The sequence below is a fragment of the Homo sapiens genome, chromosome 22 (genome assembly GCF_000001405.40).
Source record: "Homo sapiens chromosome 22, GRCh38.p14 Primary Assembly".
NCBI classification, from domain to species: Eukaryota; Metazoa; Chordata; class Mammalia; order Primates; family Hominidae; genus Homo; species Homo sapiens.
The window spans coordinates 40,580,923-40,607,721 of NC_000022.11; the positions used below are offsets into that span (position 1 = coordinate 40,580,923).

Consider the following 26,799-nt stretch of genomic DNA (forward strand, 5'->3'; position numbering starts at 1 on the left):
TAACTGATCATAACAGGTATCACATTTAACTTCTTGTAACTTGCTTTTAATTTTTATTCTTTTTTTTTTTAAATAATAGAAACAGGCTTTCACAACATTGCTCAGGCTGGTCTTGAACTCCTGGCCTCAAGCAATCTTCCCACCTCAGCCTCAGTGCTGGATTACAGGCATGAGCCACCATGCCAAGCCACTTGCTTTCTTTTTTTTCAACATAATGCTTCCAGGATGTATCTATATTGACACATGTAGACCTGATTTGTCCATTCTGACTGTACTAGAGCAATAGGTTGCATTAAAATGCCACTGCTCGCTTATCCATTTCTCTGTAGCTTCCAAATTTTTTCCTATCACAAATATAAATGAAATTAAAACACGTGTACATGTTTCCTTTTGCATAAATGGAAGGTTCACCATTTATGCAAAATACATACAAGATGTATATTTTGTACTGCTGGTTCATAGGACATTCATCACCTTCACAAAATCTTGCCAAAAACTTTCTACAGAGCTCAATTTACACACCCATCAGCAGTGTATTAGGGTTTCTCTTTCCCCATATCCTTGTTAACAATTGGTAGTATGAGATTTTATAATATTTGCAAAATTTAAGTGTGTAAAATAGTATCCCATTGTTTGAGAAAGAGCCAACTTTATAGTTTTATTAGGTATATGGGCTTTCCCTTCTGTAATATTTTTAGTTCTAGATTATAATATGTATAATATATATACAACTTATTCCTTTCTTCTGTGCATCCACAGAGTCAGACACTATGGAATTTTACATCTAACATTTAATCCTACAATAGGAAAAAAAAGTTTTCTTTGCAATTATGATTTCCAAGTTGACATAAGCCTTTAGATAAATGATGATACGGAGTATCTTTAATCAAGGCATCCCATGTATCAGAATTTCATATAGCTCTACTCAGCAAAAAAGACAGGTATCTTACCTATACAGATAATTTGGTCTTACTTGTTAGATAATAGCTTTACTGGTATATAATTCACATACTATAAAATTCGCCCTTTCGAAGTATTCAACTCAGTGGATTTTAGTGTAATTTGCAAAGCTGTGGAACCATTACTACTAGCTAATACATCTTCTTTACCTTAAAAAGAAACCCCATTCCTATTAAGTGGTCACTCTCCATTCCCCTCTCTTCCAGCCCCCAGCAACTACTAATCTACTTTCTGTCTCTACGGATTTGCCTATTCTGGACATTTCACATAAATGGGATCATACAGTATGTGGTCCTTTATGACAGGCTTCTTTCACTTAGCATAATGTTTTCAAGGTTTATCCATGTTGAAGCATGTATTGGTACACCATTCCTTTTCATTGCCAAATAATATTCAACTGTATAGATATACCACATTTTATTTATCCACTCATCAGCTGATGGGCATTTGGACTATTCCATGTTTTCCCTATTATGAATAATGCTATTATGAATATTCATGTAAAAGTTTCTGTGTTGGTATATTTTTTCAATTCTCTTGAGTATATAACGATGAGAAGAATTGCTAGTCAAATGGTAATTCTACGTTATGCTATCTGACTTTAACACTAAGCAAATTTTAGCACTATGACATACATCAGGGTGCTGAATTCCTATGAGTTGCTTTAATCCTCTTCCCAAAAAAATTCATCAATTTGCTCTTATTCATAGTCTAAAAAAAAACTTCCCAAGGTTACTTCCTTCCATACAGCCACAGACGAAGGTTTTAACTTTATACACACATACACACACACACACACACACACACACACACCCTTCTCTACAATGTAAAGCAGTCTAACTTTGATTCCCTGGGAAACTGCACTGTTTGTTCAAAAATCAAGGTAAACCTACCTAACATATGAATACCATTAGCTCCTTTAAGGTTACAATTAAAGTTGCCCAGAACTCAGTTCATTATGTTATAGAAACAGAGTATGCACATTATGGTTCTTTCTGTATGAAAAAAAGGCTGATGGCAATCTGGCCAGGAGTACACAGGGGTGAGCTGAACAGTGCCCTCAGGTACTGCAATGCTAAGAGTCTCACTGGAGTGAAGCAGCTAATAGATTTAGAGCACATCCATGTCTTTTGCCAAATGAGGCAAAATAAAGTAAAAAGTCTTTAACAAATGGAGCTATGAAAGAGCCTGAAAAGCCTGAGAGCTACACAAGAGCTCTATTACTAATATTCTTCCCTGATTAAAAAAAACAGAGCTTTGTTTTGCCTGTAACAGACACTATCAATCCTCCCAGTAACTTGAAGGCAAATATAGCCACATGACAGCTCATTAGCATTTCAGAGAAAAAAACTATGATATTTAGTGAAAAACAAAATGTGTAATAATGAAACCATAGCTCCCTATGATGACACTAGGGGCCCAGCTCACAAACTAGGCAGTCAGAACTTTGGTAACCTTATCTTTTCTAAAGCTAAATTTTCCTGCAGAAGTGCCTCAAGACCAAAGAAGAGGACAATTCCCCAGCTTTACCTCTGGCTGGATTAGGCACACTCAAGCCACAAAACATAATACAAAGAGAATGTTGCAAGTAATCAGACTTGCAATTCAAGGAAAGCACAGTAAAGCAGAATCAAAAGACTCTCTAGGTCAGGGGTTCCCAACCCCCAGTCCATGGCCTGTTAGGAACCAGGCCACACAGCAGGACTGAGTAGTGGGGAGCAACTATTACGGCCTGAGCTCTGCCTCCTGTCAGATCAGCAGTGGCATTAGATTCTCATAGGCAGCATTAGATTCTCACAGGAGCACAAGCCCTACTGTAAAATACACATACAAGGGATCTAGGTTGCACCTTTCTTATGAGAATCTAATGCCTGATGATCTGAGGTGGAAGAGCTTCATCCCAAAACCTTGCCCCCCTGCCTCAGTCCATGGAAAAACTTTCTTCCACGAAACTGGTCCCTGGTGCCAAAAATGTTGGAGACCACTACTCTAGGTGGATCATAAGATCATAAGCACAGAGCAGTTCACAGAAAGTGCACAGGACGAGGTGCTCATCTCCAGTTTTCATCCCCATGTGGTATATATAGTATTTGTCATCTGCATAGTACTTTGTATGTCCAGACTATTTTATAATCACAATTCTGGGATTATTTCATCACAATAATCGAGTGTGACAGATTAAAATTTACTGTCCTTCTTCTAAGCATTCAGATTACAGTAGATGGGAAAAAAATCAGGATGGCAGAACAGAAAAACAGACTCTTGTAAGGTCTCAAAACCTTGTCAAAAACATGATAGAATTTCTGAATTTTAGGATTTGAAGAAATCTAAAGTGTCCAATGGTTTCCGATGCTAAGAAACTAAAGCTCAGAAGGGTTGTAAGCAATTTGCCCAAGGTCTCCAAATAAGTAAGTGGCAAAGCCAGGAAAACCCAGACATCATGACTCCCAAGTCAGCCTTTCCATACATACAACCATAGTGCCTTTTCCAAAAGCCAATAATAAAATAGATGCGGAGGATTCTGAGCTGTCTGGCTCAGCACGTTATCTTGTCTTTCAAAATGCTAAGTCTCAGGCAGGCGTGGTGGCTTGCGCCTATAATCCCAGCACTTTGGGAGGCTGAGGCAGGAGGATCACCTGAGGTTGGGAGTTTGAGACCAGCTTGACCAACATGGAGAAAACCTGTCTCTACTAAAAATGCAAAATTAGCCGGGTGTGGTGGCACATGCCTGTAATCCCAGCTACTCGGGAGACCGTAGCAGGAGAATCACCCAGGAGGCAGAGGTTGTGGTGAGCCAAAATCGCACCATTGCACTCCAACCTGGGCAACAAGAGTGAGACTCTGTCTCAAAAAAAAAAAAAAAAAAAGCCAAGTCTCTTGAGCTGGGCACAGTGGCTCAAGCCTTAATCCCAGCACTTTGGGAGGCTGAGGGGGGTGGATCACTTGAGGTCAGGAGTTTAGGACCGGCCTAGCCAACATAGTGAAACCCCATCTCTACTAAAAATACAAAAAATTAGCTGGGCGTGGTGGCGCACGCCTGTAGTCCCAGCTACCTGAGAGTCTGCGGTGGTAGGATCGCTTGAACCTGGGAGGTGGAGGTTGCAGTGAGCCAAGATCGCACCACTGCACTTCCAGCCTAGGCAAAAGAACAAGACTCGGTCTCAAAAAGAAAACAAAAAAGTCAAGTCTCTCCTCATATTCACTTACCAAAGAACAAAAATATTACAAGTCCAGAGAAGTCATCACTTCTGCCGATCTGAAGGGAAGAGGAAACAAGGCAGTCCAGGCCTCAATGCTGCTGAGCAGGAAGGCTCCATGGTGTAACTTGTTCTAGATGTCTGAGGTCGATGATTACTACTTTAATTTTTAACTTGTATGTAAAACATTATATAAACTTTTTTAAAAATCACATAGGCTAAATTTATAACAAAAAGTTATATATGCTGTATGATTCCACTTATATGAGGTACCTAGAGAGGTCAAAATCATAGACACAAAGTAGAAGGGTAGTTTCCAGGGGGAAGGAGGAGGAGGGAATAGGGACTTATTTGTTTAATGGGTGTAGAGTTTCCGTTTCACAAGCTGAAAAGAGTTCTGGAGATGGATGGTGATGACAGTTGCATAACATTATGAATGTATATAATACCACTGAACTATATACTTAAAATGATTAAGATGGTAAATTTCATGTGTATTTTAACACAATAAATGAAAGTGGGGGAAAGAAAGTAATAGTGAAGACAACATGACCAGAATAACATTTTAAAAGCATCAATTAGACAGCTAAAAGAACAGAGCTAGGTGATGGCAGGGGATGAGAGTTAGCAGAGAATGCAATTAGGAGGCTACTGGAGAAGTCTAGGAGAGAGATGAAGGTGGCTTAGCCAAGGGCAATAGTTGAGCAGAGAGATATAGTAAGACTTGGGATATATTTTAAAGCCTGAGTTAAAATTTCATGAACATATATCCTAACACAGTATTTTTAACTGCAATTCATAATACACAGGTCACAGAATCAATTTCCTAGGCCAACATCAACATCTTGCAATTAAATAAAATGGAATAAAATAGAAACGAGCAGATTGCACTGCACCTAATAAGGGTAAGTATTATTTCATGAAACTTTTGTTTTAGATATCGATATACTTACGTGTGTATTGGGTCTGAATGTAAAATACATCTTGAACGATGAACCACAGCCAAAAATGTTGAGAAACATTGCCCTAGAGACTGATAAAATGGTAGGTGGAAGTTGAGAGTAATTATTTTTTTTTATCTCCATCAAAGTCCTTACTAGGCTCAAGTGAAACAAGCTACAACAAGTTGAATTACATACCTAATAAAATCTTATTGATCTGCCAAACAAATACATCATTTGCTCTTCAAAAAAAAAAAAAAGAAGGAAAGAAAGAACAGTACAAACAATAACCAGGCATCACTGGAATGCGAAGCACAAATTGTATTATTTCCATCAACCATGAAGATACAAAGATTACTAAAGGAATAATGCCAATCTTCTTTAACCACTAAACCACTCTAGCCATTCAACTACTCTTAATTTTAGAAGTTAAACCCTACCAAAACACATTCATAATGGCAAACGCCCTCAGAATCTTCAGGAAAATACCTTACTCTCCCAACTGAGAAAATATGGCCTAATTCCCCTGGAATAATTCAGAGATTACATACTAAAGCTCTGAAGGATTTGTTCAAAAAGCTTCCTGCCATGAGCAATCACTGTTTTTTTCACTGATCAGGTCTTTATTAAAAATAAGCTGTCCAAAATTATTTGACCTTTATGGAATAAACCAACAAGCTCATGCAGCAGGCTTCGTTTCCTCTGTGGTAGGTTTTTTTTTCAGCTACTGATGTCTTGGTTGGTAGCTGCTGCCCTTTTTCCCACCAGAGGTTTCTCCTGCTTAAAAACAACAACCTTCTTTCCTTTCTTCCCTACCACAGGCTTCTTGACTGCAACCCCCTTTCTCATCTGATTTGGCCTCTAGTGCTGCTGGTGCTGCTGGTGCTGCTGGTGCTGGTGCTGGTGCTGCTGCTGCTGCTGCCACCGCCGCCGCTGCCTTATCCACCTGGAGTTTGTGGTTGCTGGCCTGGCAAAGCCTGGTGTTGCAGAGCATGGTCTTTGCATATGGGTTTAGCTTCAACATGATTTTCAGGTTTTCCAGGAGGTTTGTCCCCAGGACTCTACGATGAATCTTCCTGCAACGTGCTTGAAGGGCTTTGGATGTCTGGGCTTTTCAAGATTCTGCTAAGGTCTGTATTGATCATCTTGTGCATGCAAAGATTGCAGTTACTCTTGAGGAAACAGCTTTACACCAAGTGCCACACAATTGTCTAACTTCTAGAAAGCACTTTCAGTCCAAATGCAGAAATGTCCCACATGCCCATCAGGAGCAAGTTTCAAAATGTTCAGTTTGCTTACATTAAGCAGAATAATTCTAGGAATGTTTCGGAAGGCTTTGACAATACAATCATCTTCATTAGAGACGATGCAGGGTCCCTTGCGCTGGATACGATGGTTTCTCATTTTGCCCTTGCCAGCTCTCATTTGCTGAGAGGCATAGCCCTTTTTTGTATCACTCCAGGCTTAAGTGGCAAAACAGCCTCCTTGATTGTCTTGTAGCCTTCAACTTTATCTCTGACCACCAAAAAAAGTTCAGGAACTTCCTTAATATGATGACCTGTAGACATGACCAGCACTGGTAAGGCAGAGGCAGCCAGGGGAGAACAGATAGCATATTGTTTTTTGGATTGTGTTCACTCTACAGTGCCAACAGTGCCAGGTTTTGGTTGGTGCAAACATGTGGCCTCCATGACAGATATTTCCAAAAGCACCCTGGCCAAAAGAGTGAGTCCCACCACCTCAAACTCTGGGAATTTGAGACCCAACTCTGCCAGTACCCCAAGATTCAGCACTGGTCTGACGACCTGCTAATTCACTAACAAGATAGGGCTGTCTGTTGTTTTTGTGCAAGTTGGTGTGAACAAAGTTCACAATATCTGGTGGAATGGGAGCCTTGAATACAGGAGACAAAGTGACATTTTTGCCAGATGACTCCCCTTTTTCAGAGTACACTGATAACAGTGGATCAGCACATCCATGGGAAGGTGAGAAGGCCACACTCCAACATTTTTTTTTTTTTTTTTTGGAGACAGAGTCTCGCTCTGTCGCCCAGGCTGGAGTGCAGTGGCGCAGTCTCGGCTCACTGCAACCTCCGCCTCCCAGGTTCAAGCGATTCTCCCGCCTCAGCCTCCTGAGTAGCTAGGATTACAGGCACGCGCCACCACGCCCAGATAATTTTTGTATTTTTAGTATAGATGAGGTTTCACCATGTTGGTCAGGCTGATCTCTAACTCCTGACCTTGTGATCCACCTGCCTCGGCCTTCCAAAGTGCTGGGATTACAGGTGTGAGCCACCGCGCCCAGCCTCAACTTTTTTTTGTAACTAAGATAAAACATTATCTACTGATTTACCAAAGTATTTAGCTTAATTTCACAACAGTGACGCTATTGGCATTTTGGGTGAACAATTCTGAGTTTTCTCCACCAAATGCCAGTGATGCATCTCCCACCCACAGTCACTTAACAACCAAAAATGCCTCCATACTTTTCCAAATACCCTTTGGATATATGGTACCTTCCCCATTGAGAACCACTGAAAAATTTAGTTGGTAACTGTACTTAGATCAATAGATTGCCAGTTAATGAACTGTGGCCTCCAATTCAGGTCAGAGATGTAACATAGTAACAGTGCCTTGAATTTAACCATTTCCAACGTACACATTAAGATCATATAGTCTGGGCCAGATGTATTGGCTCACACCTATAATCCCAATGCTTTGGGAAGCCAAAGGCAGAGGACTGCTCGAGCCCAGGAGTTCGAGACCACCCTGGGAAACATGGCGAGACTCCATCTCTACAAAAAATTTAAAAATTAGCCAGGCATAGTGGCACATGCCTGCAATCCTAGCTACCGAGGAGGCTGAGGCAGGATGACTGCTTGAGTCCAGGAGTGCAAAGCTGCTATGAGCTATGATTGCGCCACTGCATTCCAGCCTGGGGCAATAGAGTAAGACCTTGTCTCAGGGGAAAAAAAAAGATCATATAGTCTGAGGTAGAAATAATATTTACCATTTTTTTCATAGCACTACGCAGTGCCGAAATCTTATATTCAAAGTAATATGCAGCAAATGTAGACATGGTTGGGGGGTGTATGGTTAACATATGGATCCTACAAGTATCCTAAAAAAGTGAATCTAAATCTCCCCCCAAGATTGTGACAGAGACAATTACAGCAGGAATGTCTATGATTATTTCCTTGAGCAACATCTATGAGCTACATTTATATGTTTATGTATACATGTACAGCTTATAAAGGAAAAAATCACTGCCTACTATGTGACAAGTGTTATCAGACTGAGAATAATATACAGGCTTACTGAACATCTGTGACCAACAAAAGTGCCAAATGCCTATTTAATCCTCATAAAAACGTATGAGGTATTACTATTCTATTTTACAAAGGAGAATAGTGAAGTACAGAGAGGTTAAGTAACTGCTGAGCCAGGGTTCAAACCCAGATAACTCCAGACCCCTCAGTAAGAGCTGTATTGTTCCAAGGGATACATGAGAAGACTGGAGGAAGGAATTTTAAAAGCAGGAAAGAACTTGTCTGAAAACTATGAAAAATGTTAATAATGTCTACTACATGCTAATAATGTCTACTAAAGTACAACTGTGAAAAGGTTGTCAACAAAAATTCCTTATGACCCAAGGAAAACTAAATTTGCGTCCCAAGGCTCTTAAGCAACTGTATTTAAACTCTGCACTTAAAAATTCATATTACAAGGCCGGGCACGGTGGCTCACACCTTTAATCCCAGCACTTTGGGAGGCCGAGGCAGGCGAATCACAAGGTCAGAAGTTCAAGACCAGCCTGACCAACATGGTGAAACCCCATCTCTAAATACAAAAATTAGCCAGGCATGGTGGCACACACCTGTAATCCCAGCTACTCAGGAGGCTGGGGCAGGAGAATCGCTTGAACCCGGGAGGCGGAGGTTGCAGTGAGCTGAGATCGTACCACTGCACTCCAGCCTGGGAGACAGAGCGAGACTCCGTCTCGAAAAAAAAAAAAAAAAACTTCACATTACAAAGAAGCTTAAATTAAATGAATTCTGAACTTCATTTTTTTGCATTTTTTGCATACTGTCTTCCACATAATACTCAATTTTTAAACACTGTTAGCCAGGTTAGTTTGTTGCTCTAAGAAGATGTATTGCTACTACGACAACTACATGGCACTTCTGTACAAGAGATATCAAAAGTAAATAATTAGTATGGCTGTATAGATTATGTATCACTAAGGGGAAAAGACAGTTTACAATGGATAAATCTGGCAGACAGGAACTCAACCAATGATGAGATTTAACATCATCATTAATGAGACAAACCAACATGGTAGGTAAGCCTTTAAAAAGCTCCAGTGTAGCCGGGCGCGGTGGCTCATACCTGTAATCCCAGCAATTTGGGAGGTCGAGGTGGGTGGGTCACGAGGTTAGGAGTTTGAGACCAGCCTGGCCAACATGGTGAAACCCCGTCTCTACTAAAAATACAAAAATTAGTCGGGCATAGTGGCACACACCTGTAATCCCAGTTACTCAGGAGGCTGAGGCACGAGAATTGCTTGAACCCAGGAGGCGGAGGCGGAGGCTGCAGTGAGCCAAGATCACACCATTGCACTCCAGCCTGTGTAACAGAACAAGACTCTGTCTCAAAAAAAGAAAAAAAAAAAAAAAAGGAAAAGCTCAAGTGTATGACAATATTCACATCTTTTACTGAGTATCTGAATACTTATGCACAGAGCAGAATTCTCCAAATCAGCTAATACCTAGTCTGTATACACACACAAGAAATAACCAATAAATTATTCCCTTTAAAAATAAATAAATAGCAGCTGGGCACGGTGGCTCACAGCTGTAACCCCACCACTTTAGGAGGCCAAGGCAGGCAGATCACAAAGTCAAGAAATCAAGACCATCCTGGCCAACATGGTGAAACCCCGTCTCTACCAAAAAAATACAAAAAATTAGCCGGGCGTGGTGGCACGCGCCTGTAGTCCCAGCTACTCAGGAGGCTGAGGCAGGAGAATTGCTTGAACCTGGGAGGTGGAGGCTGCAGTGAGCTGAGATCGCGCCACTGCACTCCAGCCTGGCGACAGAGCGAGACTCCGTCTCAAAATAAATAAATAAATAAATAAATAGCAAATGAAGTGAACAGAAAACCCAGAAATAATAACGAGCTCTTACTGAGAGGCCTGAGGCATTATAAAATAACAACTTTCCACTCCGGCCTGGGCAAAAGAGCGAGACTCCGTCTCAAAAAAAAAAAAAAAGATAACAACTTTCAAAGAAAAAAATAACTTTGAATAAAAGCTAAATCCCTTCTTTTCAAGGTTACACTTTTTAAAAAGTGTTGAGAAAATGTAATAAAAATAACAAAAGAGTGGTATGTTTGACCAGTAATAAGAAACTAATATATAAAGAAGAGGAGGAAAGAAGACGTGCAATACGCAGAGTGGTGGAAAACTTCATGAGTGGAAGATTAAATCCGATGCAGAACTTAATAAAATGTGCGCCTTACTTCAAAGGAAGTTTAAAAATGGTGTTTACAAGGGATCTTTCTGGGGTATTGGAAATGTAATACTGGAGTGGGGTAATGGTTGCACATCTCCACAAAATTACTAAAAATAAACTGTACACTTCAAACAGGTAAATTCTGTAGTATATAAATTATACCTCAAAGTTATTTTTAAAGAACTAACATTTGTTCAACAAAGAAGGAAAAATTATATTAAGTTTATCTCACTAAACCATAAAAAGGAAGTGGCCAAGAGGAAAAGTACAGTAATTCATTCAATAGACAGAAAAATAAAAATGGAAAAATGCATAGATTAAGAAATGTTAATGTGTCCATTTCAGCCCTTGAAAGGACAGTATAGTATCTCCAGGTAATTCTGCTGCTCTTAACCAGATTTTCTTCTTTCATAGATATATGCACAAGTCCAAAGGAGAAGGAAGACTTCAGTTTAATTGCATATCACCTAGGAAAGAGCTGAACAATTTATTCTGACCCCCAATTACTGCATGACTGAAAGACATAGAGATGGTATCTCCCATGAGAGAAGAATTTCAAGAGAAAATTTAAAAACAGAAAATCAAATTTATAATTGTTTTAAAAGAATGTGTGGGCCAGGCATGGTGGCTCATGCCTGTAAATCCCAACACTTTGGGAGGCCGGGGTAGGAGAATTACTTGAGGCCAGGAGTTCAAGACCAACCCGGACAACACAGTGAGACCTCAGTCTCTACAAAAAAAAAAAAAAAAAAATTATTTTTTTTAATTAGCCAGGCGTGGTGGCACACACCTGCAGTCCTAGCTACTCCGGAGGCTGAGGCAGAAGGATCACTCGAACCCAGGAGGTCAAGGCTACAGTGAACTGTAAATGTTCCACACTGCACTCCAGCCTGGGTAATAAATCAAGACCCTGTCTCTTAACTTAAAAAAAAAAAAAAATCTGTGGACATTTTTTTTTTCTTTTTTTTTTTTTGGAGACAGGGTCTCACTCTGTCACCCAGGCTGGAATGCAGTGATGCAATCACACCTCACTACAGCCTCTACCTCCCAGGCTCAAGCAATCCTCCCACCTCAGCCTCTCTAGCAAATGGGACTACAGGCACATGTCACCATGCCTGGCTAATTTTTTTTGGTGTTTTTTGTAGAGACAGGATTTCACCATGTTGCCCAGGCTGGTTTCAAACTCCTGGATTCAAGCAATTCATCCACCTCAGCCGCCCAAAGTGCTGGAATTACAGGCATGAACTACCACACCCAGCCTGGTAATTTCTTTACAAGCATAATGACAAGAGTCAATTCCCTCAACCAGGTGAAACAGCCAAATGGGGAATTTTCTTGGTATTTTTGAAGAAAATTAATTTGCATTGGCTCAGGGACTTTTGCAGAAGTTTCCCAAAACAGCAGTACTGTACTTTTTTACTCCATTTGCAGATACAGAGATCAAGCAAAACTGCACCTATAAACAACCCCAATCCACACTTGCTTTGAGCTCTGAAAATATTAACCTACACTGACCTCTCCTGCACCAACTTCAGCAAATCCTAGGTCAAGAGCCTCAACTTCCCAAAACAGCACAGGTGTCTCTAATTTCAAACCCGCCAGTCTCCACCCTGCCTTTGGCTAATCAGTAGCAAGCCCCCAAAAAAAGAAAAAAATTAACTCATATAATTATTCTTTCCTTCTCCAGAAAACAAATGAAGTAACATAAAACACTACAAAATTCTATTTCCTCTAAATGGCTATTATAAATAGTTCAAGACACTGAGTCACAATATTATTCACCTAGACTTGAAAAGCTGTAATATCAATGAACTTGATATATTTCAGTAAAAGAACATACATGAAAATTTACAGTACAATGCCTAACTCCAGCAGGAATTCAATAAAAGTTGGTACCTTTCTTTACTTTCCATTAATTTTATCACACAGTATTTCCATGGAATAGTTTATTACCCCAATATAAAAGTAGAACAATAGAAAAAAGATAATTTACTGACCACACAGATCACACCCAGAAAATTCAGACCACTAGATGATGACAAAGGATTCATTTACAGAAGTTTAACTTTAATCTACCGTCTCCTCCTCCTTCCTAGACAGCAGCGTCAATTCCAAGGCCATGTTCCTTCTGCTATAGGAAGTGGCTACACTGTTTTTCCCTGTAGCAATGTACTAATCTCTTCTTTGTGACTGAGAGAAAGCCAGTCTCAAGAACCTGTGCTAAGTGTAGATGCAGCAAGAGTCCAGACTGACATCAACCCATAGAACCCCACACACAAGTTTACAGGATTCCTGGTTGGGGAGTTCCGTTTTGACTGTCAAGTTTACTCTGCAACTGAGCCAGGTCTCCTGTACCAATAAGCAACGGGAATCTCAACATACTTATGGTGGTAGAAAACTAGAACTACATGAACTAGCAGTAGCCTTTACCTTGACAGGAAATATTCTGACAGAAATAGTTTTGCAGAGCTGCGTGAACTGCCATCTATAGCTCTTTTTGCAGGCACCTGACATAAGACAGATACATAAGCCAAAGCTCTATCTGGTGTACTTTTGTTCAGGCCCAGGAGCTTAAGATAGGAACAAAGCATGTTGTGTCAAATCAAACTCTAGTGGTTACAGATGGACAGATCCTGTCATCAGTAACAAAATTTACAGTTGCCAGTAATGGCCTGGCTACTGTCTAGTCAGGTCCTTTGTTGCATTTAGTCTACCATTCACACAGGCTACTGATTTTTAGAGTGATCAGAATAAGCTAGCCTACCATTACCCACCACCCTAAATTGGTTTACATAATGGCTCCAACACAAAAACTTCTGCCCTCAAGGACTGGATTAAAGAGGTAGGGGTATGTGTGGGTGGGTACATGTGTAAATTCATGGTTCTGTTCTAGGACCACCAAAATTTTACATTGGTTATGTTGTTTCTTAGCATTCTCTACATTCTAATGAGATACTAGATGTAGTCCACAACATTAAACCACAGGACAGACCATCAGGAGGCACGATGAGTGAGACTGAAAAAGATAATGTTTCCCCAAACAATAGTCAAATCTGATCTATTCTAGGTCAGTACAATTGAAGATACTAACGACCACATTAGGAAAGGAGGGAGGGAAGAGTAAATAAATCTGGGACCTACCTTGCTTACAATTCCCACAGACAGATGAAATTCAATTCCATGCCAACCATACCCTCCGATCACTACAACACAAACAGAAAAATAAAAGTTCATGCAATATAAACAGTTCTTCCCATTCCTAAAAGGCGTTTGGTTTCAAAGGTAAGAAGCTGTTTCTTATCTCCTTTCAATCCTCTCCATGCACACAACAGTGTTAAGAGTTCTGTCACTGGTTAAAAAAAAAAAAAAAAAAAAGGCCCATGTAAGTGGAGTTAAATAATAGGTAACACTGATTGGGCACTTCCTATATGCTAGATACTGTTGCAAGTACTTAAATATTAAAACTAATTCTCACAACAACTCTATGAGACAAGTGTTTTTATTAACTCATTTTATATCCTTATATCCAAATGACAATTGTCCTATACCTCTGAAAACTGCTCTTATTGGTGTTGATAAATGCCTTTTTTTTTTTTTTTTTTTTTGGACAAGGAGTCTCGCTCTGTCGCCGGGCTGGAATGCAATGGCGCAATCTCAGCTCACTGCAACCTCCGACTCCCAGGTTGAAGCAATTCCCCTGCCTCAGACTCCCAAGTAGGCTGGGACTACAGGTGTGCACCATTACGTCGGGCTATTTTTTTTTGTATTTTAGTGGAGACGGGGTTTCACCATGTTGGCCAGGATGGTCTCGATCTCCTGACCTCGTGATCCACCTGCCTCAGCCTCCCAAAGTGCTGGGATTACAGGTGTGAGCCACCGCGCCCGGCCGAGAAATGCCTTTTAAATAAACATAGGCAATCTCTACCACCGTAGGTGGGTTATCATAATGGTTTGTATGTATAAGTGTTCTACATTCATCATTTACTTCTTGAGTCCTCACAATGTGATGAGCACTAATACCAGGTGCTGAAGAGGATTCATTCTCTTCCCTTAAGGAGTTGAGAAACTAACTGGACAGATAAGACAAAACAAAAACAGTTCAAGAAATGGAAGTCCTTATTATGAGGCATAATACAGCCTCTTTGTGCAATCATTCACAGTAAAAAATCAGCAAGCTCTGGGGAAAAGAGAGGAAGGCTTTACGTAAGAGATGCTCTAAAGCTGGACCTTTAAAAATAAGTTAGATCAGCAAAGAGTGGAGAAAGTCTTTCCAGGCAAGGAAAAGAGAACAAAGACATAACAGAGACAGAATCAATGGTATATCTAAAGTCTTTTTTTTTTTTTTTTTTTTTTTTTGAGATAAGGTCTCACTCTGTTGCCCAGGCTAGAGTGCAGTGGCATGATCACAGCTCACTGCAGCCTCAACCTCCTGGGATCACATAATTCTCCCATCTCCCTGGCCCTGAAGCCTTTCATAATCTGATCCCACCCAGTCTCACAAGCCTTTGCTCTCTGGCCACTAATGTCCCTCCTCCTCCCCATTACCCACACCAAACTTCCTCCTAGAACATACTGTCTTTGATAGTTCTACTGTTTCTCCTACTACCTAGAATGTTCTCTTTTCCCTGGCGGGTAACATTAATCCTGGCACTCAAAAAAAAATAGCCTCTGTTGTAAATAATTTTTATTATTTAAGATACAACTGAGGCTGAGTGCCGTAGCTCAGTTGGAAGAAGAAAGAAAGATAAAAGAAAATAAATTTAGAGGTTTGACTGTTATCAAAAAAGGAGGGGAGAGAAACAATTCCCAATTAAATAAATGAATTGTGGTTTTTAAGCAGTCCACCTCAACAGATATGGTTACATATACCCTCAAACTGAACACCTATGAAAAGGCCAGCACTTCGGGAGGCCAGGGTGGGAGGATCACTTGAGGCCAGGAGTTCAAGACCAGCCTGGCCCCATCTCTACTAAAAATGCAAAAATTAGGCTGGGCGCAGTGACTCACGCCTGTAATCCCAGCACTTTGGGAGGCCAAGGCGGGCGGATCACTTGAGGTCAGGAGTTCAAGAACAGCCTGGCCAACATGGTGAAACCCTGTCTGTACTAAATACAAAATACAAAAATTAGCTGGGCGTGGTGGCACGTACCTGTAGTCCCAGGTACTCGGAGGATGACGCACAAGAATCCTTGAACCCGAGAGGCAGAAGCTGCAGTGAGCCAAGATCACACTGCTGCACTCTAGCCTGGGTAACAGAGCGAGACTCCATCTCAAAAACAACAACAACAAAAAAATAGCTCGGAGTGGTGGTACACACCTGTAATCCCAGCTACTCGGGAGGCTGAGGCATGAGAATCACTTGAACCTGGGAGGTGGAGGTTGCAATGAGCCGAGATCACACCACTGCACTCCAGCAGCCTAGGCAACAGAGTGAGACTCTGTCTCAAAAAAAAAAAGCCAACTATTACTCTACTCATCTCTCCTCCATGCTCTCATGCTCTCATAGCATCTATTTCTCTGTTAACACAGTTAAAACATTTGGTTGTCCCCAGGTTTTCTTCTTCCTTTCTCTCTTACTTGTCTGAACAAGAATCATCTTTTATACAACTTTGTATCTCGCAAGACCTAGCAGTGCCTGGCAAGTAACAGGTGCTCATTATATACTTGCTGATAGAAGGCCCAACTGACCAGAATTTACAAAGTGAATAACGATCCATTTAAACAATCTGTTGTGTCAAAAGCTAGTGTACTTCTACATTCTCACGAATACGTCTGCTACGTAATTACACCAACAATTCATGAACAAAAAATTAAAGTGGATTCACTAAAAACCACCAACTAGTTTTTGCTTGACAACACAACCAGGTCCTTATCCATGCCAACTAAGACATAAATGAAAGGTAAACTAATTCAGTTGATAATTTAAATATTATGGTTGGTGATCTTTCTTACTAAAACGGTGCCACAGCTTTGTATGTAGAGTAGCTAAAGGTATTTACATTGGCTTTAGTCATGGATAAAGAAGGTTACAAATTTAGAAGTCCAATACAAATCCAAAGTTTATTTTTAGAAGCTTTCCATATGGTAGGAGTTTAAGAAGTAAAACAGCAGCCTTTTCTCTGCCGAAAGCAGAGGGTAGTAGAGCGCCAAAGGAGCAAACCCTCTCCTGACTCTGTGCCTGGCACTGCTTCACGCAGAGGAAGAAATGTGTAGGGTAAGCGAGAGCCTCACTGAAAATCAGTCACCCAAGGCAACAGGCATTTTGAAAGTCTGTGCTATTTGAAGGCTTAAGTATTAATTTTATACATGCCCATGTTCATTTAAAACATTTATGGCTTGGAACTTAAAAAATGTTCTAATGTGCTAGTTTGTCCACATATTAATCGAGTCTGCCAGGTTTGAACATGCCAAGTTTAAAATACTCTCCAGATCGTTATGCAAAGGTATGAGCTCAATCTTTTAGTCTCAGGAAAAGGAATTTAGGAGAGAATGACTAAAACAATAGTCCTTCAATGAAAGCTACAACAGAAAAAGTCAACTCCTAAATAGTGATGAGTTACTTTTTAAAAATACCTGACAGATTTCTTACATTAATCTCAAATTAAGATCCTGGATTTTAGCTCAAAGTTGTCAGACAATGTTATTTTTTGGTGGTTGTTTCCCTCCCCCGCCCCTCCCCAGCCTCCTAGAGAATGGATCTTGAAATTGATTGCTACATGAGACCATCTTATATAAAGGTTGTTTTAGTCATTCACTGACTAAGCCCCTTTAGAATCCAAGTCTAACTCATTTTATATTGAAATGAATTCTATTTTTATATGAATAGTATTACAAGCAAAATTATCTTAATCTTTTATCAGCATTAGAGAAATGCCAATAAAACCTAGAATAACTACACTTTTATAACAAGAACCTCAGAAACTAACACATCCAGTATTTTCATTTTCAGTTGGGGAACTACAGCACAAGAGTTCAGTGATCTGATAAAAGAAAAATGAGCCAGAATCTGATTACTAGTACAATGTATTTATTCTACTACATACTACTAAACACACTGTTTTTGAAATTACAACAGAAAAGTTTAAATATCCATTCCCTAACTGGGAAGATTTTAAAAATTAGATGTGTGTGCCCCCCCAAAATTGGAAATATTGTTCCTTAAAAACTTGGGTATTAGAGGCCAGGTACAGTGGCTCACACCTGTAATTCCAGTATTTTGGGAAGCTGAGGAGGGCGAATTACCTGAGGTCAGGAGTTCAGCCTAACCAACATGGAGAAATTCCGTCGCTACTTTAAAAAAAAAAAAAAAATAGCCAGGTGTGGCAGTGCACGCCTATAATCCCAGCTACTTGGGAGGCTGAGGCAGGACAACTGCTTGAACCCGGGAGGCAGAGGCTGGAGGTTGCGGTGAGTCAAGATTGTGCCACTGCACTCCAGCCTGGGCAACAAGAGGGAAACTCCATCTAAAAAAAAAAAAAAAAAAACCTGGGCGTGGTGGCTCACACCTGTAATCCCAGAACCTTGGGGGGCCGGGGCGGGCTGATCACCTGAGGTTGGGAGTTCGAGACTAGCCTGGCCAACATGGAGAAACCCCATCTCTACTAAAAATAGAAAAATTAGCTGGGCATAGTGGTGCATGCCTGTAATCCCAGCTACTCAGGAGGCTGAGGCAGGAGAATCGCTTGAACCCAGGAGGCGGAGGTTGCAGTGAGCCGAGATCGGGCCATTGCACTTCAGCCTGGGCAACAAGAACGAAACTCCGTCTCAAACAAACAAAAAAAACTTGGGCATTAGAAAACTATAGCAATTATTTTCAATACTTTTGGCTCAATACATACGCACATAGACTCTCCAGTGGAAATTTAGCTTTTAAAAGATTTCCTTACATTCCAAAGGGGATGAGAATAATTTTTACAATCTAAGATGACATTATCCTTATCTTCTAAAAAATAAACTTCCCACAAAGAAAAAAAGCAATTTCATAGAATTCTGGGTCTTCTTTCAAACAAGCACTTCTTTGGAAAGAATGCCACTAATCCATTTTAATTTAGGGGAAGAGAATGCAAAGGATAAAAGGAAAGTTGCCAGGCACAGTGGCTCACACCTGTAATTCCAACACTCTGGGAGAGGCAGAAGCGAGCGGACTGCTTGAACCCAGGAGTTTGAGACCAGACTGGGCAATATGGCAAAACCCCATCGCTACAAAAAATACAAAAATTAATCAGGCATGGTGGTGTTTGCCTAAAGTCCCAACTACTCAGGAGGCTGAGGTAGGAGGATCGCTTGACCCCGGGAGGTTGAGGCCGCAGCGAGCTATGATTACACCACTGCACTCCAGCCTGAGCGACAGAGTGAGACACGCTGTGTCTTTAAAAAAAAAAAAAGAAGTGAAGGGAAAGGAACAAAAATGGAATGAAGAGGGGAAAAAGGAAAAGGAAGAAAGACAAAAGAAAATCAATTTAGAGGTTTGACTTATCAAAAAAAAAAAAAGCAGAGGGAAAATAACAATTTCCAGTTAAAGGAATAAACTGTGGGGATTTTTTGGAATTGTGGTTTTTAAGCAGTCCACCTCAACAGATATTGTTACATATCTCCTCAAACTGAACACCTATGAAAAAAATCTTAATCTCTCTCTGCCTGATTCCTCTGTTTGCTCTTTCTTCTGCACCCAAAGAGAAGATTAAATAAACTAGGCCCCCTGAAACAAGTAAGGGAGGCAGAAATGCGAATCCATGCAAAGTGCTGGTAATGACTAAAGCGATCCAAGAGTCTTAAAGGAGTCAAGAGAAACCACTGTGCTCCTAGGCATATCCATAACCTCCTACAAGAAGCAATACACTCTGCTGCCTTTCATATCCACCACAAATCTTTCCTTTCCGATTATCGGTGTGATGTGCATAGAGATTTTAAAGAACAGTTAAGGCAGGGCATGCTGGCCCACACTTGTAATCTCAGCACTTTGAGAGGCTGAGATTATATTTGATTAAGGTGACAAGAGGAAAATGGAAGCAATACCTGTATATATTAAAAAGGGAGAGAGAAAATAAAGAAGGCCTATGTAGCCTGCTGGTCAACCCAGATGCAGAATTCAACCGAACATGCTCATGTGCTCATTAAGGTACCATAACATATGCAATACTTTACAAAATAAAAAACTACAATCTTGGCTGGGCTTGGTGGCTCACGCCTGTAATCCCAGAACTTTGGGAGGCCGAGGCAGGCGGATCACAAGGTCAGGAGTTCGAGACCAGCCTGGCCAACGTAGTGAAACCCCGTCTCTTCTAAAGATACAAAAATTAGCCGGCCGTGGTGGCACACGCCTGTAGTCCCAGCTACTCAGATGGCTGAGGCAGAATAGCTTGAACCCGGAAGGTGGAGGTTGCAGTGAGCCAAGATTGTGCCACTGTACTCCAGCCTGGGTGACAAAGCAAGACTCCGTCTCAAAAAAAGCAAAACAAAACAAAACAAAAAAACTACAATCTCAAACTGTCCACTTATAAGAAGAGTTTCAAACTCTATAATAAAGTTCCCAGTTTTCCCTTCATCTGCCAGCATCCCATAATAAGCATCTCCTGTTTGACCATTATTAAGACTCAGACATAGTAGCTCCAGAGAAGTAGATATAGCTCTTTCCTTTTGAAACTGCAAAGCAAAACCCACTTTACAATTTTTAAGTTTTTGAACTTTTTTTTGTTTTTTTGAGACATGGTCTTGCTCTATTGTGCAGACTGGATCACAGTGGCACATCTATAGCTCAATGCAACCTCAAACTCCTTGGCTCAAGTGCTCCTCCCTGCCTCCGCCTTCAGAGGAGCCAGACTACAGGCATGTGCCACCATGCCTGGCTAATTTTTTATTTTTGTAGTGACAGAGTCTATTTTGCCCAGGCTGGTGTCAAACTCCTAGCTTCAAGCGATCCTCCTGCCTTGACCTCCTAAAGTGCTGGGATTACAGGCATGAGCCACCATGCCCAACTTCGAAATAATGTTTTTTAATACTTCCATTTTACTGTCTTATAGTAGCTGACAAAACACAAATTTAATTTAGCCTAGACTCTAGCCTAGTTTTATAATAAGTTAATTTCAGCAGTTATCACATAGATGACAAAAAAAAATACTCATCGTTTGATACTGATTAATTCTGAATGACTGGCCATAACCTTTAAAGCCTGAAGATCAGCTGGGTATGGTTACACTGAGCCATGGATGTGCCACTGTGATCCACCTGAGTACCAGAGCAAGACTTTGTCTCTTTAAAAACAATGAAAAATTAAAATTAAATAAATAATATAAAGCTTGAAGATCAAGACTGAAATCCCTTTCCCATCACAATCAGAGGTAGGGGGTCAAATCTCAGTAAATGAGGAAGAATAACAAAAATATAATGAGTCCCTGGCATCTGTTACCAACAGTGAATTCATCCTGATAGCAACTGGAACATTCCAGTGATCCTGGCAATGAGGAACATCGATGTAACATACTCCTTTTGTTTTAAATGCAAATTTTTCTCTCCTGTTCCCTGGAATGTCCCAAAACAAGAGAATGGTCCAGAGCCTGAGAACAAAGCACCTACGAAGAAGAACAACACAGAGAGGGACCTATACAAGACTACCACTAGTATCACAATCTAGGTCAAGGTCATTGGAGAAATCACAAAATCACACCATCTCAGCATTGGAAAGTGATCATCATGTGTCAACAAATATTTTCCAAGTGACCATGTGCTAGATGCTAAGGAAACACAAATGATTATGACAAAATCCCTATTCAAGTCATGTGTGCTAAGTACTTCAATACAGGAGTTAACTAAGGGATATGGGAGTATAGCAGGAAGAATAAAACAGCAGATTTTTCAAAATAAGTTGCCAAGAATGAACTTGGGATCACCACATCCACCATCTGCCAATATTACAAACAGAAGAATCGTGGTGATTCAGGATAAAGAGAAAGTAAGGCTGCAGTCACAGCAGGGCTAGGACTTGTAGCCTCCTAGAATCAAGGTCTTGCTCTCCTATGTGGTTGGTTTAAAAAATAGTTAAAGGCACCCCTGTAATCCCAGAACTTTGGGAGGCCAAGGTAGTTGGATCACCTGAGGTCAAGAGTTCAAGACCAGCCTGGCCAACATGGTGAAACCCCATCTCCACTTAAAAAAAAAAAAAAAAAAAATTAGCGAGGCGTGGTGGCATGTGCCTGTAATCCCAGTTACTCAGGAGGCTGAGGCAGGACATTCACTTGAACCCAGGAGGTGGAGGTTGCAGCGAGCCAAGATCACACTATTGCACTCCAGCCTGGGTGACAGAGCGAGACTCCATCTCAAAAAACAATAGTTAAAGGTGATTATGATCATTTCTGTCCCCCTTCATTTCTTCTTCACAAAAAACTGGCATCACAAGAAAGCACAGTTCTAGTCCAACCATTCACTCAGTGCCAATCTCTAATTTTTACAAGACAGTACTTAATCCTTTAAAATATTTGCTGAAAAAATAGTGCCTTCCCTTCCTCCAGAAAATTTTATGTACACACTAGGCTATTTACAGAGGTCTAGGTTACAACTTTAACTTCCAGAATAAAACTAACTATAATCACTACTAATGCCATGTGACTTTCCCTCTGGCCGAAGCTCTAAACTGTCTACCTCCCTAGGCTTAGAGAAGTCTTTCTAGCTCCGAGGCTTCTGACACTTCAGCTCTTCATTTTACTGCTAATTATGACTCTCAGGAATTCACCCATAAAGAACTACAGGAATTTACCCTATTAATCCACAAACCACATTTCATTTTCATTTTCCAGACAAATCTTAAAGGCCTGTAATTTACAACATCAAAAAGTATCAGATCTCCAAATGGAAAAACTTATCTCTGACATAGGAGTTTTTTCTTATTGGTAACCTCTCTCTATCCAATAGAAACATACTTAACTACCATAACATATTCTAACAAACTGCTGCTATTTCAGCAATTACAATAGAGTATATGCTTTTGATAGTGAGTCAGGTCTTGGGAGTGGCTTAGCACATGGAAATTCACCAGCCGGCATCTACACTGAGATTCAAGGAGACAAACGGAATTTTTGCTTCTGGTTTTTCCAAGAGTTAACTAGTGTTTAAATCGACTATATTATTCTGAATTACTTACAGATGAAATGGCAAAATGTCTGAATTTTATTTTAAAATATGAAGGAGGAGGTGTGGAGTAATATTAAACAAGATTGGTCACATGTTGAAAAAAAAAATTTTTTTTTTACTTTTTTTTTTTTTAATTTATAGAGATGAGGTCTCACTAGGTTGCCCAGGCTGGTCCTTGAACTCCTGGGCTCAAGTGATCCTCCCACCTTGGCCTTCCATAGTGCTGGGATTATAGGCATAAGCCACGGCACCCAGCCCCTGAATACTGTTGAAACTGGGTGACAGGCCCATGGTGGTGGTTCATTGCATTATTCTCCTTGTTTTTATATGTGTTTCAAATGTTCCATAATAAAGATTTCAAAATAAATTTTACTAATGTCATGATCTGGTGAACTTGGAAAACAGATAAAGAACAAAGTGATTCTTGGAACCAGTGATCTCCATAATCTACCTGAGTAAAAGCTGTTAGTTTCTTTTTTTTTTTTTTCTTTTTGAGACAGAGTCTTGCTCTGTCGCCCAGGCTGGAGTGCAGTGGCACCATCTCGGCTCACTGCAAGCTCCGCCTCCCAGGTTCACGCCATTCTCCTGCCTCAGCCTCCTGAGTAGCTGGGACTACAGGCGCCCGCCACCACACCTGACTAATTTTTTGTATTTTTGGTAGAGACAGGGTTTCACTGTCTTAGCCAGGATGGTCTCAATCTCCTGACCTCGTAACCCGCCCGCCTCGGCCTCCCAAAGTGCTGACATTACAGGCGTGAGCCACCGTACCCGGCCCTAAAACTGTTAGTTACCTAAGACATACCTAAATACTGGCCAAGCGCGGTGGCTCATGCCTGTAATCCCAGCACTTTGGGAGACCGAGGTGGGCAGATTCCAAGGTCAGGAGTTTGAGACCAGCATGACCAACATGGTGAAACCTCGTCTCTACTAAAAATACAAAAATTAGCCGGGCGTGGTGGCATGCACCTGTAATCCCAGCTACTCAGGAGGCTGAGGCAGGAGAATCGCTTGAACTCGGGAGGTGGAGGTTGCAGTGAGCCAAGATCGCGCCATTGCACTCCAGCCAGGTTACAGAGCAAGACTCCATCTCAAAAAAAGGAAAAAAAAGAGATACCTAAATTCTAACGCTTATTCCTCACTGAACATACTATTCAGCACGATCACCATGTGCTGACTTAGGCACCAACCTAAGTGCTGATGATACAGTGATAAACAGATAAATGCAATCTGTCTGTTGTTGTCGTTGAATGAATGAGGCAAGTATGTGGTGCCATAAACCAAACAAGAAGAGACTAATCTATGACCTATCAGGAAAAGCTTCCCAGAGGAGTTACCATCTAAGTTAAATTCTGAAAAATTAAACCCCAAAACACGAATCATTTATTTTTGACCCATGTTAACCTTTATCACTTACAGATTGTAAGACCAGCAAGCAAATGCCTATTTCTTTATGAAGTAACCACTTGTCTGTAAAGGAAAAATTAGCAAACCATCACTCATTCAACAAATATTAGATACCCACCATATGCTAACATACTAGACAAAAAAGATAAAACATGGTCTCTGCTCTGATGGGGTTTATAATCTAACAGCACAGGAAAACAAAAACAAGTAAGTAGGCAAGCCATCAAGCAGAAAACCAATTTCAAACTTCTCCAAGTTATAAAACCAGCAAAGAAGGGACTTTTGTGGGCAGAAAGTGCCAACTTTTTAGATATAGTGATAAGGAAAGTTGAAAGGACTGAAGACCAACGGATGACAGTGCAGCCGACTGAAGGGAGTGGGATGCCAGAAGAGGTGGTGAGATCAGCAAAGATACAGTATGTGTGCACCTTGTAGGTCATGGGATGAAATCTGGATATTATTCTAAGCACAATGGAAAAACCACCGCAGGTAAGAGTTTTGAGCAGAGAAGTGATGTGATTCCATTTATGTTTTTAAGAAGATCATTCTTGTTACTCTGGAAAGAATGGATTGATCGAGAATAATTTTTTACCAAGAAGAATTTTAAATGAGTAAAATCAAAACATCAAAACTGATTTTGGCCAGGGAAAATCATCTCTATATTCCATTACCAACCTAAAATCTTTTAAATTGCCTTACTTAGTCCAGGCTTCATCTACAGTTTGGGTTGGGATTGTTTGTTTTAATGCTTACAACCAACATGTCATGCCCTCTGAGGAGGTTCCTGGGAAGCTAAAACAGGCCCACATGCCTGGTGGTTAGCATTCTTTTCATTCTCAAATTGCTAAAGTCAGATTAATTTTCATTTATTCATCTCCTATTCCACAATCAGCTTCTTGATTGAAAGGAAAGGAGTAAGGGACTTCCTTGAGTGTTTCAGGAGACAATAAACTCTACGGAAAATCTGATAAGGAATGTGATTATATAACCTTTCTTCCTCCTGCCAACTATGTTCCAGGTGGGGACTCCACTATGAAAGCAATTCTAATACTCCTATCCAAATCTGCCAGCTCTCAGAAAGCTGCCTAAAGCAAACTCATTTAATTCTCTCTGAAAAAAAAAAAATTCTCATTCCAAAGTCTGAACAAGAATAAATTTCTAGTAGTGTTTGTAATTGATAAGGAAAGGAAAATAAATTTCACCATCAATCTCTGGGGCATGTGGCCAAATAATCTTAATAAAGAAACTTAATAAAGTTAGTTATGCTCAAAGAGATTTTACTCAGTCATTTGAAAAACAGAATGGAAGGAGTAACAGGAAACAATGCCTACATCTGTTAAATACTCATGAGCTTTACATATATTTCACTTTATCTTGACCACACCCCAACAAGATTAAGTATATTTCCACTTTACTGATGAGGACAGAGCCCCAGGAGTTTACACTGTCTCAAGGTCACATAGCTATTAAGTAGCTTCCATGGTCCCATATGCTTTCCATTAGACAAATGTTTAAACAAAGATCTAAATTATAGAAATTCTTCCACATGACCAATGAACTAATAATAGGTAAGTTTTTGTTTGTGTGTGTGTGCATGTGTATATGCTTCATCTGGAGGCCTAATCACCAATTATAATTCTTTTCAGAGGGAAAAAGTGCTTAGGATTCCTCTTTGGAGACATCAGACCACCAGAAAGAAGCTCTGAAGACATAAGGGAGTTTGGTGGCAAAAGCTATCAGGTTATTTGTTCCTAACAAAGCCAAAGGAGCTCCTCTTTGAAGGCAGCATATAATTTCTGGGGCTAGCAGCAGTGACTTCCTAACAAAGGCTCTAGGGACTCATGTACAAAAATCATTATCAAGCTCAGGAGTGTCTTGTAAGTGATTTGGGGTGGTTACACTCAGCAACACATACATACAAAAATAACTATTTTGTTAACAAATAAAATCAAGTAAGATAGCATACATGAAAGCACCTAACAGTGCCTAACAGAAAACAGATACACAATAGAAAATTAGTTTCTTCCACTATCTGCTCAAAGTTATTTGTATGAAAAACAAGTAACTGTGCTGGGTGAAGCCATAACCTCCTTGCCCTCAAAGCCCAGCCAGAATGAGTTTGCATACCTGGTGTCACGTTTGCTAAGAACAACAGGTACACAAGGCCGGGTGCGGTGGCTCACGCTTGTAATCCCAGCACTCTGGGAGGCCGAGGAGTGCAGATCACAAGGTCAGGAAATCGAGACCATCCTGGCTAACACGGTGAAACCCCATCTCTACTAAAAATACAAAAAATTAGCAGGGCATGCTGGTGGGCGCCTATAGTCCCAGCTACACGGGAGGCTGAGGCAGGAGAATGGCGTGAGCCTGAGAGTCGGAGCTTGCAGTGAGCTGAGATCACACCACTGCACTCCAGCCTGGGCGACAGAGCGAGACTCCGTCTCAAAAAAAAAAAAAAAAGAACAACAGGTACACAACAAGCTACATATCAAAAATCAGAAATCTTCTCTTAAGGATTATTTTATTTCCTCCACGAATCAGCACCATAGCATGGACAGAAAGGTATCCTTAAAGCAAGCCTTCCCAACAGCTGAGCACAACACAACTCAGCAAAACCACCTAGCCATCAGTGCAATCTGCATTACAATCTGCATTCATCCAT

At 40.6% G+C, this 26,799-nt stretch overlaps 1 protein-coding gene and 1 pseudogene across 3 annotated transcripts in view, besides 4 other annotated features; both read right to left on the reverse strand.

The window, feature by feature from the left end:
* The window catches only part of MRTFA (myocardin related transcription factor A), a 226,431-nt gene that overhangs the window by 170,634 nt on the left and 28,998 nt on the right, over positions 1-26,799 (reverse strand). For all 3 annotated transcript variants that reach the window (NM_001282661.3, NM_020831.6, NM_001282662.3), the window contains exon 2: positions 13,752-13,813. The gene's annotated coding sequence lies outside the window, so the exon portion shown is untranslated. The remainder of the gene's footprint in view (positions 1-13,751; positions 13,814-26,799) is intronic.
* RPL4P6 (ribosomal protein L4 pseudogene 6) lies at positions 5,693-7,101 on the reverse strand (annotated as a pseudogene).
* Positions 12,523-12,817: a silencer, noted in NCBI's record as "tiled region #11047; HepG2 Repressive DNase matched - State 8:EnhW". NCBI's record gives its function as "represses a minimal TATA promoter and a strong SV40 promoter by Sharpr-MPRA in HepG2 cells {active_cell/tissue: HepG2}" and the evidence as "EXISTENCE:reporter gene assay evidence [ECO:0000049][PMID:27701403]".
* Positions 12,523-12,862: a biological region, named in NCBI's record as "Sharpr-MPRA regulatory region 11047".
* Positions 12,663-12,862: an enhancer, noted in NCBI's record as "active region_19094". NCBI's record gives its function as "activates an Ori minimal core promoter by ATAC-STARR-seq in GM12878 lymphoblastoid cells {active_cell/tissue: GM12878}" and the evidence as "EXISTENCE:reporter gene assay evidence [ECO:0000049][PMID:35858748]".
* Positions 13,443-13,652: an enhancer, noted in NCBI's record as "active region_19095". NCBI's record gives its function as "activates an Ori minimal core promoter by ATAC-STARR-seq in GM12878 lymphoblastoid cells {active_cell/tissue: GM12878}" and the evidence as "EXISTENCE:reporter gene assay evidence [ECO:0000049][PMID:35858748]".